Source organism: Homo sapiens, chromosome 1 (assembly GCF_000001405.40).
Source record: "Homo sapiens chromosome 1, GRCh38.p14 Primary Assembly".
Lineage (NCBI taxonomy): Eukaryota > Metazoa > Chordata > Mammalia > Primates > Hominidae > Homo > Homo sapiens.
This window is the reverse complement of record NC_000001.11, coordinates 178,408,302-178,430,466: the sequence shown is the minus strand read 5'-3', so window position 1 is coordinate 178,430,466 and position 22,165 is coordinate 178,408,302. Positions and strand designations below refer to the sequence as shown.

The following is a 22,165-nucleotide window of genomic DNA, read 5'->3' as shown; positions in this document are numbered from 1 at the left end:
CTTCACTGGAAGAATACAAAGATGGAGTAAATGTGTAGAAATATTTTTTCTATTAAGATAAAGCATTTTAATGAATTTAAAATGTTATCATGATGCAATTAGATACTTCAATTGGGTTTTAGTTCATAAAACTAAGGGATCCTTAATTGGCCCATGGCTGTAAATCTGGAATAGGAAACTCTAATCGATAGCTAGACTGTATTGATTAATTAATGGCTTGGAGTCCAGTAATTTCTGAGAAGTTGTCATATCCACATAGACCATATTTTAAAAGATTGTAATTCTTTATTATCTGGAAGTCAGTTTTGACTCTCCTCTTCTGTTTCAGGCCAACAAATGTGTATTGAGTTCCTCAATAGGACAGTCATTGTGCTAGGGAATGAAGATACAAAGATTGTATCCTGGAGGAGCTTTCAATCTGCTGCAGTAAGCAGACATATGAAAAGATAAATTCAATAAAAAAGTTAGTCCTAGAATAAAGTATGCAGAGTTGGACTCAGGTAGTTGGGGGGTGGGGTAGGCACTTAGTCTAGGATGATATGTGGGAAGAATACCAAAAAGAAGGGAGGGAGCATGTAACTCCTGACTTGGGTACTGTTGCATGAGGATGAACTAGAAGTGAGCTTGACAAAAGACAGGGTATAGGAAAAGGAAATGGCATTTGGGTTAGAGGAGACAGTAAGATCAAAAGCAGAGAAATATGAAACAGTATGACAAGTATAATACTATAAAGAAGACTTTTGGCAGGAGTGACAGGAGGTAATATTGAGAGGGAAAGACTGGGCCATGTTGCCTTTTGTGCGGTAGCTAAAGATTACAGATTTATAGAAGTATTACATACATAGGCAATGAGATATGAAAATTGCAGTTTCAATTGAGACACCTAGATAAAACAGATTCTGTATACCAAAGTCATGTATCAGATCAACTGCAGCATTTACAAAGGAAATGTGTTAGAACCAGTTCCACTACCTTGATCCTCTCAGTTATGTCAAGACTATAAAAAGTGGTCAGAGAATGGAGAATGGGAAAGATTTTGTGAGAAACAATTTTTGAAAGAAGTTGTGAGGCTCATCCTCCTGCTACCTACAAGGGAGAAGGGTAAAAGATACATAGAGGGCAGGGTTTGATTCCATCTGGGAAATCTAGATGATGAGAAATGACCAACTAACTGTTGGTGGCAGAGCAAGAGCATTGATGCTTTTGGATAAGCCTGTAGTCCTAGAGGTTGTTAGGGCAAAAGATTTGTGGAGGTTTCCTGCGGACCATAAGACTGCATGATGAAGAAACCAAAGCATCAAGAACTCCTTTCTAGAAAGGATTCGCAAGTGAGCACTTGGAAGAGAAATGCATCTGTCAGAGTCAATGAAACCATAGGTGAGAGCTCCTCAGGGATGATAAATCTCTGAAAAAGTCCCCAAATCACCCCATGAGAGAAAAGTCAGCTTCAAATTTCTGTTAGGCTCAGTGAGCATTATGGAAGGCTAAGATAGACTTTGTTATCCTCTTTCTCATCTTTTTGTTGCTTCACCTTCCCCAAAACCTGGAGGGTGCCTAAAAACATGGTGAGTAGGCTACAGGGGAAGAGCAGATGAGGAGAGAAGTAAGTAGTCTATCATACTTTCTTCTCCAAAGGCAGGCAGACTGCCTGTAACTGGTTTGGCTGGGGCAAGTGTGTAGTTTTGATTAGAATTTTGTAATATCTTAAACTGGGCCTGGTGCCACAGCTCATGCCTATAATCCCAGCACTTTAGGAGGCTAAGGCAGGAGGATTACTTGAGCCCAGGAGTTCAAGGTTACAGTGAGCTATGATGGCACCACTGCACGCTAGCCTGAGCAACAGAGCAAGACCTTGTCTCTTAAAAATATATATATATTCAATATATATGTAGAATATATATATAGAGAGAACATCAATAAGTTCTGAATTAAGATCTTTTATTTAAAGCTATCACAGATGAACTCTAAATGGATCATAGACTTATATATAAAAGCTAAAATCATAAAACTTCTAAAAGAAAACATAAGTGAAAATCTCTTGGGACATAAAAAATTCCTCTGCAAACATTGCTTATCAGGATGTAAAATGGCACAGCCTCTTTGGAAAAGTTTGGTAGTTTCTTACAAACCTAAACATGTACATACCATAGAACCCAGCAATTATACTCTTGGGCATTTACCCCATAGAAGGGAAAACACGTTCACAAAAACCTGTATCTAACTGTTCACAGCAGCTTTATTCATATTAATGATAGCAAAAACTGGAAACAACCCAAACGTCTTTCAATGGCTGAATGGTTAAACAAACCGTAGTACATCCATACAATGAAATACTACTCAGCAACCGAAGAAACAAACTACTGATACATGTAACAATTTGGATGGACCTCAAGGGCATATGTTTAGTGTAAAAAAAAAAAAAAGCCAATCTCAACCAATTATATACTATATGATTCTGTGAAACACTATTCTTAAAATAATAAAGCGATAGAGACAGGAAACAAATTAGTAGTTCTTTAAGGGATGTGATAGGTGTGGGGAGGTGGGTATGACTATAAAGGGGTAGCATAGGGAGTTCTTTCTTGGTAATGAAACAGTTCTTTATCTTGATCATGGTAGTAGTTACACTAATCTATACATATGATTAAATTGGACAGAACTACACACACACACATGCACAAATGAATGCATGTAAAATTGGCGAAAACTGAATAAAGTCTGCAGTTTATTTAATATTACTATACCAATGTCCATTACCTGGTTTTGATATTATACTACAGTTATAAGACCTCACTATTGGGGAAAGCTGGGGGGAAGAGTCTACAGAACTGTATGTACTATTTTTGCAACTTTCTTTATATAATTTCAAGATAAAAAGTTAAAAAATTCTAATTAATAAGGAGAAACTCAAGAAGCTGAGAATATTGTTCCATAATTCCACCTACCAATGAACACCATACTTACTTTCAGGTATCTTTTGACAAAGAAAAAGTAGACTACTTAAAACCATACTTTGTTAGTGAGCCTTAGAATTGAGAACATTACTGTGAAGGTTTTTATTTGAGGGAAGTTTGGAGTGGGTGAGAATATTCTACTCCATATGCTCATCTTTACCTTTAGTCTTTGGTAAATTTAAGTAGCACTTCCAAAGCAAGGCTGGCAACAGGCATTTGGAATCTTGGAATGCCTGACAATACAGTACCACTGTTTTCAGTCATTTCCTAGTTTTAAGTGCATTTGAATGAAAGGCAGAAACATCACAGAGTCTTTTTGTGTCCCAACACCCTCCTATATGACATGGCTTTAATGTGAAAATGCTGCCAATATTGATTCTAGGAAATCGCTTTACTGGCTTTTATCTGATTAGATGGCTTTGGAACAATGATGACTTTGTGACATCCTATTGATTTTGCCTCTAAAACGTTCCTCCTATCTTGTCTCTGCCTCTCCATTTCCACTGCTACTATCCGCCTTGGAGCCCTCATTATATCTTCTTACAGCTTTTTGTTAACTGGTCTCTCAGACTTAGTATCTGCAAACTAAGTTACCTGAAATTCCACTGCTGGATTAATCCATCCATAGCAAAACTCTGATTAGGTCATTTTCTTGATCAAAAATGTTTAAAGGCTCCTTGTTTCTTATAGGCTAAAATCCAAACTCCTCAGTTTGACATTCGAGATCTGCTCTGGGTATGGAATATTGGGTTGAAAATAATTTCCGCTCAGAATTTTCAAGACATTGCTCCACTAACGTCTGGTTTTCATTGTTTCTACTGAGAATTCCAATGTCATCCCCCCACCCCCAACATTCCTTTGTATGCAACCTATTTTTTCTTTCTAGAAAATTTTAATTTTTTTTTAAACCTTAGCATTCAGATATGTCACGATGATATAAATTGATTTACCTATTCTTGGCATTTTCATTTCTTATACATGGAATCATCCAATATGTGGTACTTTGTGACTGACTGGCTTATTATTATTACTATTATTGAGACAGAGTCTCTCCTGTTTCCCAGGCTGGAGTGCAGTGGCACGATCACGGCTGACTGCAGCCTTGACGTCCTGGCCTAAAGTGATCCTCCCACTTCAGTGTTTTCAAGGTTGAAAACATGCATACACATTGCAACATGTACCAGTACTCTTTTTATTGCTGATGAATATTCTATTGTACGGGTATATCATGTTTTTGTATATCTATTGATCAGCTGATGGGCATTTGGGTTGTTATCACTTTTTGCCTATTATGAATAATGTTGTTATGAACATTCACATACAAGTTTTTATATGAATATATATTTTTATTTCTCTTGGATCTACCTAGGAATGAATTTATCAGCTGGGATTTTAATAGGCAAAAAAACCTACAGATATAAATGTAGCTATCTGTAGGTCTGTTTCTCCAGGGTGGTTCAATTTCTCAAACTGCTATGTGACAGGGGTAAGTCTGGCTGCTGACTTTCTAGAGCTGGGTGGAAGCTGAACCTTTCCAGAGTAGGTGGGTAAATCAACTTCCTATGCAGAGACTGCTAGCTGTTTTACCAATGTCCATCCCTCTCTCTTTCCTTAAGAACAGAGTCCTATATTATTGGGCCCACCAATATATCCAGGTATAAAGTTTCCCAGGTTCCCTTAGAAAAAGGTGGCAATGAGACAGAAGTCAAAGTCAACTAGGTATGGTTTCAGAGAGATTGCTTTAAAGGGAGATAACTCAGCTGGAAAGCATGTGTCTTTTTATGGGCCCATCTTTTCTGGTATCTAAAACAAATATGTTATGGTTGGAGCTCTAGTAGCTATCTTATGCCTATAAAGAGATTCTTGAAGATCCTGAAGAATGGCAGACTTGAACAGGACTGTCCACTTTCAGACAGAAGTGAAAAAAAAAATAATTCTACCTTGTTTCAGTCATTTCTATTTTGGGTATCTGTTAATTGGCAACTAAACTGAATCCTAAGTAGAGACTTCTTTTTAGAATTTCCTTTTGTAGGTAACTACATCTGTTTGTCATCTAAGTGAGAATTATAGATTAAGTAATCTATCTCTCATATTTTTCCTAGTTTCATTAAAGATGGAGTTCATATTTGTTTCTCATATTAATTTTTAAGACAAAAAAAAGCAGAACTGTTTTCACCCATTAAGTTAAAAACTGGAATTTTACCTTTCCAAACTTATTTCCTACCTTGCCCCTTTTCATGTTAATACCATGAACTATTCAGTAATTCTCTTCAAGCTCCATAATTTCCTACTTTCTACTTTTGCTCATTATTTCCATTCCAAGGAAAGTTCTGTGTGCGTGTCTATTTCTATGTTCAAATTACACCTGTAAGATCCAACTCACAGGCCATTGCCCTCTAAGGTCTCTCCTGATCCACTCAACAAGAAGTAATTTTATCTTCACCGATACCATTTCCTCCTTGACACTTACCTCTTTTACTGGACTCCTCGAGGTTGAGGGCTGTATCTTTGGTTCTCTATGCTATATTCTCTGTAGCATACAGCATAGTAGCTTGTACATAACTGTCACATATTGAGTGTGTTACTGTATATCAATACATTTGGATTTTAGAAACATTATTTGGTAAAACTATGGTATTTTTCACAGCTTGCTTTCTTTAGATAAAATTAACCATTTTAAAAATGTTTTTCTGCTATCTTAAAGTGGTAACTCAGACCTCCTGAGAATAATTTTATCTTTTAAAAATATGAGGGCTGTGCATGGTGGCTCACACTTGTAATTCCAGACTCTGGGAGGCCAGGGTGGGCAAATCACTTGAGCCCAGGAGTTTGAGACCAGCCTAGGGAACATGACAAAATCCCATCTCTACAAAAAGTATAAAAATAAGCCAGGGATGGTAGTGTGTGGCTGTAGTCCCAGCTACTCAGGAGGCTGAGGCAGGAGAATTAAGTAAGCTTGAGAAGTCAAGGCTGCAGTGAACCGTGATCGTGCCACTGCACTCCAGCCTGGGTGACAGAACAAGACACTGTCTCAAAAAATAAAAATAAAAGTGTAATGAGTGAAGATAAGGTTTGTGGTTTATCTCAAAAATTTTGAAGATTTCTGGCTGGAGGCAGTGGCTTATGTCTGCAATCCAAGCTACTCAGGAGGCTGAGGCAGGAGAATTGCTTGAACCCAGGAGGTGGAGGTTGCAATGAGCCGAGATTGTGCCACTACACTCCAGCCTGGGCGACAGAGTGAGACTCCGTATCCAAAAAACAAACAAACAAACAAAAAAAACCAAAAAAAAAAAACCACAACACTTTGAAGATTTCAAAATATCATGTCCACTATTTCATTATCCTCTGGATCGCTCCAGATAGAATATTTCTCCCTTTTGAAGAAGGGAAAAATAAAGTAATTTGCAGAGTATCATAAAGAAGAATTTAACAAGAAACAGGTCCCTCACCTCTTGAGTTCAATGTTCTGATCAAATTTGATCAGATAAGCCCCCCTTCCCACCCAAAAAGACTGACATATCAGAGAAAGGAAAATTGAAAACTTCCATGTAACTTGAAGACATGATTTTAAAACACAAGAAACAGATTGGGAGAAAAATTTTATTAACATGCATAGTAGTGGCTTACTATCCGTAGTAATAAAAAGTGCTATTCCAAATCATAAGAAATAGGACAAACAACTCAATAGAAAAATGGGCAAAGGAAATAGGTAAGTCACAGAAGAAGAAAACATACGACAGGATATTCAGTATACTAAGCATTAGCAAAATACAAATTAAAACAAAGAAATCCCCCCCCATCCCATCTTTTAGAGAGGCAATACACAGTAAAGATTACAAATACAGACTCTAAAGCCAATCTTCCTGGGTTTGAACCTCAGTTCTCTCATTTTCCAAGCTGTATAACCTCAGGCAACTTACGAATTTCTCTGCGTCTCAGTTTTCTCATCTTCAAAATAGGAGTAATGACAGTGACTATCTCTTAGGGTGGTTGTAATGATTAAATGAGTTAGTTTATATAAAGTACCTAGGATATATCTGTCACATAATAAATACTACATTTTACTATTTCTATTCTTTCAACATATTGATAAAATGGAAAAGGTTGTCTGAAGGATAAAAGTAATCTCAATTTGTTGGTGGGAAAGGTCCTTTTTTGAAGGAAAATTTGATAACATACATACTCTATACCAAGCAGTTCTACTTCTGAAATCCAACCCAGCCACCAGTACAAAAAGGCACATGTTCAAAAATGTTCATGACATCTCTATTTTGTACCAAAAAAGGGAAACAATGTAAATATCCATCAATAGAGAAGTGAGGTACATTATTATAAAAACACTGTAGCATACAAAGATTCAGTTGTTAAAAAGAATGATGTGGACTGACATTTACTGACACAGGGAGAGTACAAAATATTTATACTAAAAAGCAAGTCACAAAGTAATATGTGATCCCATTTATATGAAAACATGAAAACATATACTTGGGTTCCCTTTATGTATGGAGTTTTAAAGAGGTTTGAAAATATACAAATGGTTAATAAGGTTATTTATGTGGGGAGATAGGAAAGATAAAGAGGGTCTTTAGTTCTTTTTCTCTTTACTTATATACTGAAACTTTTCCCCCTCCAAAACAAAGACAAATGAGTATTTTACTTTATAATTTAAAAATGGAAAAAAAAGGAGCTGCTTACTACATTTAACTGGAAGTTCCACAGATTGGATAAAAGAACAGAAATGTTTTGCTACTTAGATTTAGACACTGTATAACATTTTGAAAGAAGTGGCTGACTTCAGCAGTTGATGTATCTGACCCAAGAAAATCAGGTCTTCAGAAAATACTTGGTCACACCTATAAGGGCACTAATTCAAAGAACTCAGCTGATCAATATCTTGTACCTTAGCTCTATTTATCTGACTGTTCATATGATCTGAAGGCAAGAGAGTCTTTTTTAAAAATGGTAACACATTCAAACTATATTGAGTACACCTCTATACAAGAAAAAGTTTTTTGAAAAATTTCTGTATAGGAAATCTCTACAATTCAAATGGAGTTGATAAATTAAAAGGGTTACTTAATATTTGAGATTTACTAGCACTTTTTTATTGTGCTGTACTTAAGAAAGAAAGACTTTGCTATTGATTAAAGCATTAACATTATAAAAGTCACAAATAATACATTTCAATCACTGGAAAGGCTAAAAATACAGTAACTATATAATAGAAATACAAGAGACTCTGGGAGAATATAATCTCTTGGTAATTCAATCAAACAATTCCCATGGGCAACCTAAAACAAAATGGAATAGGAGAGAGCCCTTTGTTTGAAATAAAGAAGGTAACATTTAGTGCAAGGTTAAAAAATAATGTAAACTTTAAAAAAAAAATCTTGTCTCCCAAGTTTCTATATGATGCTGCAGAGTTTAAGAAATTGCCTATTGAATTGGGAGTGTTTTATTTGCTGCACAACATTTTTGTTCTTAAGAATCGATAATCTGAAAAAAAATTGTTATTCTATTTTTTGAGACATTAATAAAATGCTTTGAATTCCTGGAATGATGAAAATTATAGAATAACAGGAAACTAAGAAAAATATTTTAAAAATCTTTTTTTATGATTACCTTAAAACAAAGAGGTATAAAAGAGATAATAATATAAATATAATGCAAATTGGGCTGACTTGCAAATTTCACAGAGCACCTTTAATGTGGTTCAAGAAGGGCTAATAAAGCAGTAGTCCCTCATCAAGTCCCTTCATTTACAAAATAAAGACAGTAATCATCTGCTTGGCAAATCTATAATTTTATTTCTGTTTTCTAGGTAGATAAGTGAAAAAAAGTCACTTACTGGAAAAAAAAAGTAAAACATAAATAAGAGTATCAAATATGAGAGGCAGACCTGAGTTCAAATCTTAGCTCTACTACTTATTAGCTGTGTGACCCTGGGCAAGTTTCTCAAACTTTTTATGCCTCAGTTCCTCATCTATAAAATGAGGATAATAATAGTATCTAGGGTTGTTGTATTACATGAGAGACTACATTTAACACGTATGGCACACAGTAGGTACTTAATAAATATAGGTGGTGGTGATGATGTGCTGATGCTGATACCACAAGCACTGTTTCCAAAATTTTGAACATTATCGAGACATGATGTGTCAAAAATGTGTTAGCACACATTCAATGATTTTTGAAGCATATTATCCTTAGGGAGCTGTACTCAAGCTAGTAGTCCTAATTATGGAAATCCACCCAGGCTTCCTTTTCAGCACGTCTTCTAGATGTAATTGCAAACCAACAAGGCCAATTTCATATGCTATACATACAGAACATAGCAGTAAAAAGCATGGACTCTGGAGCCAAACTGCCCAAGTTCAAATACCATTTTTGCTATTTACTAGCTGTATGACCCTGGGCAAGATTATTTAACCTCTCTGTACTTCAGATTCCTCATCTATAAAATGGTGATAATAATAGTATTTATCATATACGGTTATTATAAAGATGAAACAAGATAACATGTATGAAGCATCCTGCGACAGTGCTAAAATTGTTTAGCTATCATAATCATTATTCTTTATAGTCATTCTACCAAAAACCAAACAAAAGATACACCTCTGACCACTGTAACTTGATTCTACAGAAATAGCTTAACTGACTCTGAAATTAGTTTTTATGTATCCACAAACTCTCCAATATTATAACATTCTTAAACTGGTTGGGTATTTGAGTCAATATTTTGTATCTTGCCTTAATATGAACACGACATAAAAGTCAATTTTTTATTGTATTTTTCTATTTGTCATTGATTCAAATTCAGAATAGACCAAAATGCCTTAACAAAATTCACTCTCAAACTGCTTTTTTTGTTTTAAGAAAGTTAACTTCCTACCTGTCATCTGTACTGCGAAGGGATGGAAGCCGAAAGCTCGTGTTTCTGTCAAGCTTTGACTGGCTTTTGGTCCTCTTGATGGAGCCTTTCAGGCGCTTGCTGAAGAATCCCTAGAAGGAAAGGCAGAAGGTGATGGGAGAGAGAACCAAAAGGGAATGTTACTCGTCCACACTATCTCTGCAAAAGGTATTTAGACTTTTACAATAAAGACCAGAAATAGAAACTAGCTTTTAAGCTTTTTAATTTTGTAAATAATAGTCACTTGAAACCACCTGGCAATGTGATGAGAAAATTTTCTTCTGTGAGAATTGGGATAACTAAACTTTCTAGTAGCACCTAATTTATTATTTATTAATGTTTATATTAGTTATGGAAGAAAAACTTCTAATTTTACTGGTAGATTTCTAAAAAGCACAACAATATAACATACACAAATATATTCCTTTCTATGAAGATGGTACCAGCAATTTCAATACAAATGACATCTACTGATTTCCCAAACTAAGGGAAAACAGGCAAAGAAAATGGCATGTGCAAAGGCCCCCAGGTGAGAAGGTACTTGGCGCATTGGAGGAATTAAAAGATAACTGACAGAAGAGAAAAAGCTTTGTTCTAAGATATGTAAAAAGGAGTTAACTAAGTTGTAAAATATAATGTATTGGTGGTCTCAGAAGTGTTAAAACTCAGTCTATGTCACCTTGGATATGGCATTGTAAAATTAAGTATTGAATGTGGATAAACTATTTTAAAATGAAGTATAGATCATTTATGAAATCATTAAAGCTTCCAGACTGGAACAAAGTGCTTTACAGTCTATGGCCCCTGCCTGCCTCCTGCCAGTTTTACCAAACTATCTAGAGTTCCCTGAACATCCTCCTCGACTCTGCACCTGGCAAATAGTGAGCACTTAACAAAAGTTTGTTGAATAAAAGAATAAATGCAAAAATGAATGACGGTCACTACTTTCAAGAAATTTACAATTCTGTCATTGGCAGGTGAAAGGAATCTTATAGAAGCATATTAAAATTTCTCAGTCAGACACGGTAGCTCATGCCTGTAGTCCCAGCATTTTGAAAAGGCTGAGGTGACAGGATAGCTTGAGGCCAGGAATTTAAGACCAGCCTGGGCAAAATGGCGAGACCCCATCTCTACAAAAATAAAATAAAATAAAATAAAAAATTTAGCCAGCCATGGTAGCACATGCCTGTAGTCCCAGCTACTCAGGAGGATGATGTGGGAGGATTGCTTGAACTCAGGAGTTCGAGGCTGCAGTAAGTGATGACTGTACCACAGCACTCCAGCCGGGGCAATAGAATGAAACCCTAACCCAAAAACAAATAAATAAAATAAAACAAAATTTTTCAAGCAAAGATTCTAATTCAAAGAAAAATATTTTGACACATGGAGAATGACTCTTTCTTGAGATGAATATCATTTTATATAAGCTGTGTACAATAAACATTTCTATAATGAAGAAAAAGAAATACTAGGCCAATATTAGCACATCAAATCTTTTATATTCCTTTAGTAACTACCAAAGCCCACTGTTTTGGGGTGAAGGCTATATTTATCAGGATAAGCTAGGTTATGATTATCTAATCACCCCCCTAATCTTCGTGGCATAAAATATGTTACATGTCCATAAGCAGGTCAACTGAGGGGGTGGGATCCTGTCTATGCTGTCCTTACTCAGGAACTTAGGCTAAGGGAGGCTATCTGGGCTTCTACAGTTTTTGCAGCAGGATAAAGGTAAAATAGCAAATTATGTACATGTACTAGCTCTTAAAGCTTCATATCACTTCTGGTCTCATTTCACTGACAAAACAATCACGTGACCATATCTAACTTCAATGGAGGAAGGGATATATAGTACTACCAGGTACTCAGAAAGGGAACTGAAAATATTTGGTGAACAACAGTATAGACTGCCACAGTGTTTTACCAAGCCAAGTGATTTTTAAACATGCAGGCATTGCTCCTTTTATTAGAGAAAAATGAAAACAAACTTACTCAAATCAAAGTGGAACTATTTAGATTACTGAAAGAAAATACTTATAATGCTATATCTTATTGTTTTGGCCATCCAAGGAGTTAAGTGTAAAAACTCCTAGTATATATCACATAGACATAATACCCTAGGCTGTTTTTCACTCCAGCTTATTATAGGTATGTAGAGATTGACTAAAGGCAAGGGAAAAAGGCTCAATGTGAAGATGATGAGGATGAAGGTCTTTATGATTCACTTCCACCTAATGAATAGTAAATAGTATATTTTCTTTTCCTTATGATTTTCTCAATAACACTTTCTTTTCTCTAGTTTACAATTTTAAGAATGCAACATATAATACATATATCACACAAAAGATGTGTTAATTGACTGTATATGTTATTGGCAAGGCTTCCAGTCAACAGTAGGCTAATAGTAGTTAAGTTTTGGGTGAGTCAAAAGTTATATGAAATTTTTCAACTGCATAGCAGGGTGGTGTCTCTAACCCCCATGTTGTTCAAGGGTCAACTGTACAATTTTGGTGTCATTAGGGAGAGTCACTGTCATTAGTCACAGTCATTAGTACATAAAGGCAAAGGCTTTATGTACTATTTTCTATGACTCAATCAGAATGAGTCACCACATTTGCTAATAAATGTAGCTAGCAAACCAGGCTTAAGTTTATAGAATTGTAATAGGATTGCTAGGCCTAGGTTGAGATCCAGGCCGAGGAGTCGACCAAAAATCATACATATATTTCTAATGAAAATACAGTTAAGCATTTGACTGAGACAGTATTAGTAGACTGTCTACTAATTAAATCTAGTAATTTAATTCTACCTTTTTGTGGCACTTTTTTTTTTTTTTTTTTTTTTAGACGGAGTTTCACTCTTGTTGCCCAGGCTGGAGTGCAATGGTGCAATCTCGGCTCACCGCAACCTCCGCCTCCCAGGTTCAAGCTCTTCTCCTGCCTCAACCTCCCGAGTAGCTGGGATTACAGTTGGAATTACACACCTGGCTAATTTTGTATTTTTGGTAGAGATGGTGTTTTTCCATGTTGGTCAGGCTGGTCTTGAACTTCCGACCTCAGGTGATCCGCCCACCTCGGCCTCCCAAAGTGCTGGGATTACAGGCATGAGCCACTGCGTCCAGCCTTGTGGCACATATCATATCATACCTCATATGACATAATATGATACATTGTATTTAATAAAACTTATGCTTATTTGTTGTAGAGAACTCTACTAGGAGTTGTAAGGAAATCAAAGATAAACACAAACTCTGCCCTCAAGGAACTTGCCATTTAATACAGACTTTAGATACTAAATATAAATTTATGCACAGGCTTATTAGTAGACTGGACATGGCTGAGGAAAGAATCTCTAAGCATGAGGATATATCAATAGAAACATCCAAAACTGAAAAGCAAGCAGAACAAACAAAAATAACCCAGAAAAGAATATCCAAAGACTACAGGACAACTACGAAAGGCGTAACGTGTAATGGGAATACCAAAAGGAGAAAAGAGAAAGAAATAGAAAATCAGAAACAATAATGACTGAGAATTTCCCCAAATTAATATACCAAACCAAAGATCCAGGAAGCTCAGAGAATACTGAGAATACCAAGCAGCATAAATGCCAAAAAAAAAAACCCTAAAAGAAAAAAAATCCCAACCCCCAAAACTACACTGAGGCATATAATTTTCAAACTGCAGAAAAACAAAGAAAAAGAAAAAATCCTAAAGAAGCCAGAAGGAAAAAACACCTTATGTACAGAGGAACAAAAATAAGCATTACATCTGGCTTCTCCTCAGAAACCATACAAGCAAGAGAATGGAGTGAAATATTAAAGTGTTGAGAGGAAAAAAAAAGAACCCAAACTACCAACCTAGAATTCTATAACCTGCAAAACTATCATTCAAAAGTGAAGGTGAAATAAAGCTTTCTCACATACATGAAAAAATTGAGGAAAAATGTTGCCAGTAGACCAGCATTGCAAAAAATGTTTAAAGAAGTTCCTTAGAGAGAAAAGAAAACAATATAGGTCACAAATTGGACCTTCTTAAGAAAACAAAGAGTATAAAAGGAATAAGTGAAAATAAAACCACCTTTTATTTTTCTTCTTAATTGATTTAATATTGAAGTAATAACAACAATGTATTTAATTATGTATGCTTATGTATATATGCTTATGTCTATATGATATATATGCTTATGTATACTTATATATAAGGGAAATGAATAATAATGATACAAATGACAAGGTGGAAGAATTAAGATTATTTTATTATAAGGTACTCATACTATCTACGAAGTTGTATAGTGTTATGTGAAAGTGGACTTACATTAGTTATACATTTAAAAAACTGCAAATTCTAGGGAAACCACTAAATTTTTTAAAAAATAAGTATAACTGATATGCTAAGAAAGGAGAGAAAATGGAATCATATAAGTCATTCAATTACAATCACGAAAGGTTATAAACAGTGGAAGACAAAAATAAGGACACAGAACAAAGGCAACAAATAGAAAACAGTTAACAAATATGGTTAGAAACCCAACTATGTCAATAATCACTTCGAACGTCAATAGTCTAAATACCCCAATTAAAAGAGATTGTCAGTGTAGATCAGAAAACAAAACCCAACTATATATCATCTACCAGAAACTCACTTTAAATATAAAGGCACATAAAGATTAATAGTAAATGGATGGAAACAATATACTATGCCAACACTAATCAAAAGAAAGCAGGCATAGCTATATTAATTTCAGACAGAGCAGATATTACAGCAAGAAAACTTAACAAGGATAAAGAATGGCATTATATAATGATAAATGGGTCAATTTTCCAAGAATACAGCCTTAATGTGTATGTGCTTAATAACAGAGTGTCAAGAGACATGAGGCAAAACTGGTAAGAGTTGCTAGGAGAAACAGATAAATCTATATAGTTGAAGACTACACACCTATCTATCAGAAATGGACAGATCTAGCAGGCAGAAAATCAGTGAGGACATAGTTGAACTCCAAAACACCATTTAATCAACTGGATATAATTGACATCTATAGACTACTTTATCCAACAACAGCAGAATAGAGATTCCTCAAGCTCATATGGAACATTCACCAAGACAGATCAAATTCTGGGCATAAAACACATATTAATAAATTTAAAAGAATAGAGATCATACAATGTCTTCTTTTAGATCATAATGGAATTAAACTAGAAATCAGTAATAGAAAGATGACTAGAAAATCCCAAAATATGTGGGGATTAAACAACATACTTCTGAACAACACATGGATCAAAGAAGAAATCTCAAGAGAAATTAAAAAACACTTTGAACTGAATGAAATAAAAATGAAAACATAGCATCTAAATTTTGTGGTATGCAGTAAAAACAGTGCTTAGAGGAAAATTTATAGCATTGAATGCATATACTAGAAAAGAAGAAAGATCTAAACCCAATACTAAGTGTCTATCTTAGAAAACTAGAAAAAAAAGAGCAAATTAAATCCAAAGCAAACACAAGAAATAAAAATTAGTGCAGAATCGATTAAATTGAAAACAATAAATCAATAGATAAAAGCAATAAAATCAAAAGCTGGTTCCTTATGAAGATCAATAAAATTTGTAAGTCTGTAGCCAGACTAAGAAAAAAATAGAGATGACCCAAATGACTTATATTAGAAATAAAAGAGGGGTCATCACAACAGGTTCTATGGACCTTAAAATGGTAAAAAGGGATTTGATAATCTAGGTGAAACAGATCAATTCCTTGAAAGACACGATCTGCCAAACTTATACAGGAAGAAATAGACAATATGAATAGGGCTATATCTATTAAAGAAATTGAGTCAATAATTAATAACCTTACAAAACAGAAGCACCAGGCCCAGATGGGTTCCTCTGGTGAATTCCATGAAACATTAAAGGAAGAAATGATACCAATTCTCTACAATGTCTTTCAGAAGATAGAAGATAGAAGCAGAGACAATACTTCTTAACTTAGTTCTAGATTCACAGCAAAACTGAGTAGAAGATATAAAGATTTCCAATGTTCCTCCCCTTCCCTCTACACATGCATAGCCACTCCCACCAACATGCCCTACCAAACTGGAATATTTGTCACAACTGACGAATCTACATTGACATCATCATCACCCATATTCCATAGTTTACTTTAGGGTTTGTTATTGGTGTTGTGCATTCTATGGGTTTGGACAAATGCATGGTGATATGTATCCACAATTATAGTATTATGCAGAGTATATTTACTACTCAAAATCCTCTGTGCTCTGCCTATTCATCCCTCAGTACCTCCCACACTCCAACCCCTGGCAAACAGTGATCTTTTCACTGATTCCATAGTTTTACCTTTTCTAGAATGTCATACATTGATAGTCCCCCATTTAAGATGGTTTGAACAATTTTTTGATTTATGATAGGTTTATCAGGACGTTAAATACTTTTCAATTTAGGATATTTTTGACTTATGATGGGTTTATTTGGACATAACCCTATTGTAAGTCAAGGAGCATCTGTGGTTGGAATCATACTGCAGCCTTTTTAGACTGGCTTGTTTCACTTAGTAATATGTACCTAAGGTTCCTCTGGGTCTGTTCTGTTTTTGTTTTTTCTGCAGTCTTTTTTTTCTTTGCTTTTCAGTCTTGCCACTTTCTACTGAGGTGTCCTCAAGCTCAGAAATTCTTTCCTCAATTGTGTCCTGTCTACTAATATGCCCATAAAAGGCATTCTTCATTTCTGCTACAGTGTTTTTGATTTCCAGCATTCCCTTTTGGTTCTTTTTTATAATTTCTATCTCTCTTCTTACATTGTCCATCTGTTCTTGCATGCTATCTGCTTTATCCATTAGAGCCCTTAGTACATTTATCATAATTGTTTTAAGTTTCCGATCTGATAATTTCAATATTTTCTGAGGCTGGTTCTGATGCTTGCTCTGAGGATGGTTCTGATGCTTGCCCTGTCTCTTTAAACTGTGTTTTCTGCCTTTTAGTATGTTCTGTAATTATTTTCTTGCTAGCTGGATATGCTAAATACTAGGTGAGAGGATATGCTAAAACTAGGTACCAGGTGAGAGGAACTGCAGTAAACCAGCCTTTAGTCATGTAGTAGTAAGGTGGGGGAAAACATTCTGAAGTCCTATTAGATCTCAGTCTTTTAATGAGTCTGTGTTTCTGGACTGTGAACTTCATAAGTGCTGCTCAGTGCCCCTCACCCCACCCACCCCACTTAGGTGGAAGGGGATGGCTAGAGAGTGCTGGAATTGGGTATTTCCCTTCCTTCTGATCAGTTAGGCTCTGATTAGTTTCTTCTGAGAGCAGACCTTGTTAAGAAAAACAGAACGGGCCAGGTGTGGTGGCTCATGCCTGTAATCCCAGCACTTTGGGAGGCTGAGGCAGGCGGATCACCTGAGGTCAGGAGTTTGAGACCAGCCTGGCCAACATGGCAAAACCCCATCTCTACAAAACATACAAAAATTAGCCGGAGATCGTGCCACTGCCCTCCAGCCTGGGAGACAGAGCAAGACTCTGAAGAAAAGACAGACAGACGGATGGACAGACGGAAGGAAGGAAGGAAGGAAAGAAAGAGAAAAGAAAGAAAGAAAGAGAAAGAAAGAAAAAGAAAGAAAGAAAGAAAGAAAAAGAAAGAGAAAGAAAGCTCTGATGCATTTCAAAATGCCTCCTTTCCCTTCTCCCTGCTGGAAAAATGAGGGGAATTTTCTCAGATATTCACTGTGAGAACCTGGTAGGACTCTAGGAGGTAAAATTTTTAAAAATTGTGGCCTCCCCATTAATGAATACCCCTACAGTTTTTATCTCTCAAACTTGGCCACACTAAGCCTCCAGCATTTCATAAATTACAGTTGAGGTTTTCCTATCTGAAAACAAGAAGTCTTGCATTTAAACTTTCGAGGGGATGGCATAATGTTATATTTACCTTAACATCAACCACAATGTTTAAACTTTAGTAAGTCCTTGATAAATACATACATGAAATCATGGCTGATTTAGGAACACAGATAAGGAAAAGGTTAAGATTGCACAGAGTGGGCAGTAATACTTCAGGGAGGTAGTGAAACCTTTCAAAATTTTGTGGTCACCTCCTTGATGTAAATGAAGCATAGTTTTAACCTGAGAAATGGTTTCTCTCACAGCTCTATTTAGTTGAAGTTTTTTCATTCTCCATTACCCAATATTCAGTGGTACCCAGGAAGAGGTAGCTGGACTTTACCTAGCTTACCATGACTGTTTCCAAATCAATAGTCCATAAAATCATGGTTTGGAGTAAATGCATATTTTTTAAGGTACATACCATCTTGATTTAGCATTCTTCATCTCTCTTTGCTGCTCTCATGTTTCAATCTCTCTTTCACTTTCCTTTATTCATTAAGAACTTTAGCCCCTAGCTTGTAATATTTTTCTGACTCTTAACACCATGCTAGAAAATAACCAAATAGTGATGTCTAGTACCCTAGCTTCATAATTCCTTGACTCCATTACTCAGTATCCTCCCCTTCAGCCACCTACTCTTTTTTTTTTTTTCACATGATGGCAATTTATTTTCAGAAAGTATTTTGAGGAGTCTTGTTCACAGACGGTGACCACAGCGACCCCACTTCCTGTGGGTGCCGTCAAGAGGGGATGGGGGGTGATGTCCTCAATCTGCCTGATCTTCATACTCAAGCGGGCAAGGGCTCTGAAGGCCGACTGGCCCCAGGTCCAGGGGTCTTGGTCCTATTTCCTCCTGTGGCCCAGAGTTTGACGTGTAGGGCAGTGATACCTGGCTCCTTGCACCTCTGGGCCACATCCTGGGCAGCCAAAAAAGCAGCACATGGCGAGGATTCATCTCGGTCTGCCTTCACCTTCATCCCACCAGTCACACGGCAGATGGTTTCTTTGCCAGAAAGATCAGTGACATGGACAAAAGTGTCACTGAAGGTTGCAAAGATATGGCAGACACCAAATACATTTCTCTCCTTCAGCCACCTGAAGTGTGCCATTTCTGCATGTCGTCTCTCCATCCACTCATTTTTTTAAATCAAATTTTTATTTTTATTCAATAGTTTTAGGGGAATAGGTCATGTCTGATTGCATGGAAAAGTTCTTTAGTGGTGATTTGTGAGATTTTGGGGCACCCATCACCTGAGCAGTGTAGACTGTACCCAATGTGTAGTCTTTTATCCCTCACCCATCTCCCACCCTTCCTCCCAAGTCCCCAGAGTCCATTATATCATTCTTATGCCTTTGTGTCCTCACAGCTTAGCTCCCACTTATAAGTGAGAACATACAATATTTGGTTTTCCATTCCTGAGTTATTTTACTAAGAATAATGGTCTCCAACTCCATCCAGGTTTCTGCGAATGCCATTATTTCGTTCCTTTTTGTTTGTGACTGAGTAGTATTCCATGGGGTGTGTGTGTGTGTGTGTGTGTGTGTGTACACACACACACACCACATTTTCTTTATTCACTCATTAGTTGATAGGCATTTAGACTGGTTCCACACTTTTGCAATTGCGAATTGTGCTACTATATACGTGTGCAAGTGTCTTTTTCATATGACTTCTTTTCCTCTGGGTAGATATCCAGTAGTGGGATTGCTGGATCAAATGGCAGTTCTACTTTTAGTTCTTTAAGGAATCTCTATACTGTTTTCCATAGTGGTTGTACTAGTTTACATTCTCATCAGCAGTGTAAAAGTGTTCCCTTTTCACCACATCCATGTCACCATCTGTTATTTTTTTATTTTTAATTATGGCCATTCTTGCAGGAGTAAGGTGGTTATCTCATTGTGGTTTTGATTTGCATTTCCCTGATAATTAGTGATGCTGAGCATTTTTTTGACGTTTCTTGGCCATTTGTATATCTTCTTTTGAGAACTGTGTATTCATTTCCTTTGCTCACTTTTTGACGGGATTATCTGTTTTTTTTTTCTTGATTTGTTTGAGTTCCTGGTAGATTCTGGATATTAGTCCTTTGGCAGATGCAGTTTGTGAACATTTTTCTCCCACCCTGTGGGTTGTCTGTTTATTGATTCTGATCTCTTTTGCTGTGCAGAAGCTTTTTAGTTTTATTAGGTTCCATCTATTTATCTTTACTTTTGTTGCATTTGCTTTTGGGTTCTTGATCACGAAGTCTTTGCCTAAGTCAATGTCTAGAAGAGTTTTTCCGATGTTATCTTCTAGAATTCTTATGGTTTCAGGTCTTAGATGTAAGTCTTTGATCCATCTTGAGTTGATTTTTGTATAAGGTGAGAGATGAGGACCCAGCTTCATTCTTCAACATTTCAGCCACCCACTCTTATATCTACACACTAGATCTTATCATCATTCAGAGATCCTCCATCTCAGACATCTTAAACAGTAATATTTTTTTCTCTGATTTCCTCCCTAATCACATGTCTTTCATATATCTCTTTCTCCACATTAATCTACTCTTCAACCTAACAGAAACCTTCACTTTCTGGACCACCTCATTTTCTCCCTGTCCCTTGTTTTTTCCTGCTCTCTTTTCCTTCTCCCTAGATTCCACAGCTAATCATCTGATGCTATTCAATTACCAACACCCTCCATTTTCTTAATGATTAGCTATCCAAAATAACAATTAAAACAATATTTAAGTCAATCTTCCTGGTGCCATGACGAAGCTCTTTAGGAAGACCACATAGCTGTACCGGATGAAACCACAACAAATTCACTGTTTTCAAGCTTGGCTTGGCTTCTACTATCCCTCCATCCTGGACCAACCATGTACTGAGTCTTCCCACATTATCCTCTTCTGAGAAACAACAAAGTACATGTCATGCCCAGTTGCCCATTGCCTGCTTCTGAGCAACTGCTTACATATTCAGGTCACTATGCTTTGTGCCATGCAATCTTTCTGCCCTGGATCCATATGACTGGTCAAGGGATGGATAATTAACCCAAAGGTACCTAAAAGCAGCTAGGCATGGCCCTGGTAAGAGTTCTGCCTATAAGATATAGTATCATCTGGTAACGACTTACCATTCCAGCTGATCCCTGGTCATTCCACTTCATACTTTATCCTCCACTAACTTGAAATACCTGTAATTCTCTATATTCACCATGCATGTTTACCACTGCTCATATTCTCTTCCTTCTCCCTGGCTGAATCATCCTTTTTGATACCGCTTAGGAATGATCTCTTCTAGGGTGTCTTTTTTGACATGACCTGACCCTGCCCTAGATTACGTGCCCCTCCACTGTGCTTTATAGAGAGCTAGCCTTACATCTAGCACAGTGTATGCCCACTTATGTGTCATCCTCACTAAACCCTGCAAGCTTTGTGTTCCCAGGGCAGGTCTGATATCTGGTATTTAGTAGGGGCTCAAAAATTGCTTTCAGAACTGAAAAATCATATGCAGTGTGTCCTCAGATCATCTGAGAACTCACTCACTCACTATCATGAGAACAGCATAGGGGAAATCCTCTCCCATGATGCAATCTTCTCCAACCACCTCCCATGGCCTAAAAGTATGGCAGTTCCCCGCTTGCTCTCTCTTGCCTCCATGTGAAGAAGGTCCTTCTTCTCCTTCCGCTATAACTGTAAATTTCCTGAGGCCTCCTAGTCATGCTTCCTGTTAAGGCTGTGGAACTGTGAGTCAAACCTCTCTCTTCATAAATTACCCAGTCTCAGGTAGTTCTTTACAGTAGTGTGAAAACAGACTAATACAGAAGATATATGACTTTCCCAAGGTCACATAGATGCTAAATGGCAGAGGAGAACTTTGAGCCTAGGTAGCCTCACACCGGAACCCTTCCTTTTTAACCACTGTGCTATATGAATTCTTGACATTCTAATTCCACATCAAATACTTTAAGTACTATAACATAACTTATTTTCCCCATATGTATTATATGTAACTTCTACACATACCTTATTATAGAATTATGTATCATAAACAGCCAGAAATGTAATATGACAATTCAAAATATGAGGAAAAAAAAGAGAAGCAAAACAAAAAACAAAAAACAAAAAAAAACCAACCAAACAACAACAACAAAAAACCTAAAAAACAAAAAAACTACTATTGTGGCATTTGACTTACAAGAATTTGCCCCTAGGATTCCTAGCTATATAATTAAACTAAAGTAAAATCAAAACCTTATTGAAATGGCTTTTATATGTAACTGATTCTGTGGTCACTGAGTATAAAATAAAAAAATCCAAATATAAAATTTAAAAATAGATGGATACCAAGAGGAAAATGCTTTTTTCTCTTTCACAGTTATGATATCCATGCCTTATAAAAATGTGAAGAGTGTGAATGATGTTCCAGTCTA

At 36.3% G+C, this 22,165-nt stretch overlaps 1 protein-coding gene and 1 pseudogene across 19 annotated transcripts in view, besides 1 other annotated feature; both read right to left on the bottom strand.

Annotated features, from left to right (window-relative positions):
* RASAL2 (RAS protein activator like 2) overlaps positions 1-22,165 on the bottom strand; it is a 384,747-nt gene that overhangs the window by 48,384 nt on the left and 314,198 nt on the right. For all 19 annotated transcript variants that reach the window (NM_001437625.1, NM_001437626.1, NM_001437627.1 and 16 more), the window contains one exon: positions 9,847-9,956. In NM_001437625.1, coding sequence (NP_001424554.1) covers positions 9,847-9,956 — 110 coding nt within the window. The remainder of the gene's footprint in view (positions 1-9,846; positions 9,957-22,165) is intronic.
* Positions 11,804-13,003: an enhancer, noted in NCBI's record as "CDK7 strongly-dependent group 2 enhancer chr1:178386599-178387798 (GRCh37/hg19 assembly coordinates)". NCBI's record gives its function as "activates an origin of replication core promoter dependent on BRD2, BRD4, P300/CBP, MED14 and CDK7 cofactors, with strong dependence on CDK7, by STARR-seq in HCT116 cells {active_cell/tissue: HCT116}" and the evidence as "EXISTENCE:reporter gene assay evidence [ECO:0000049][PMID:35650434]".
* On the bottom strand, positions 18,404-18,883 carry RPS14P2 (ribosomal protein S14 pseudogene 2; annotated as a pseudogene).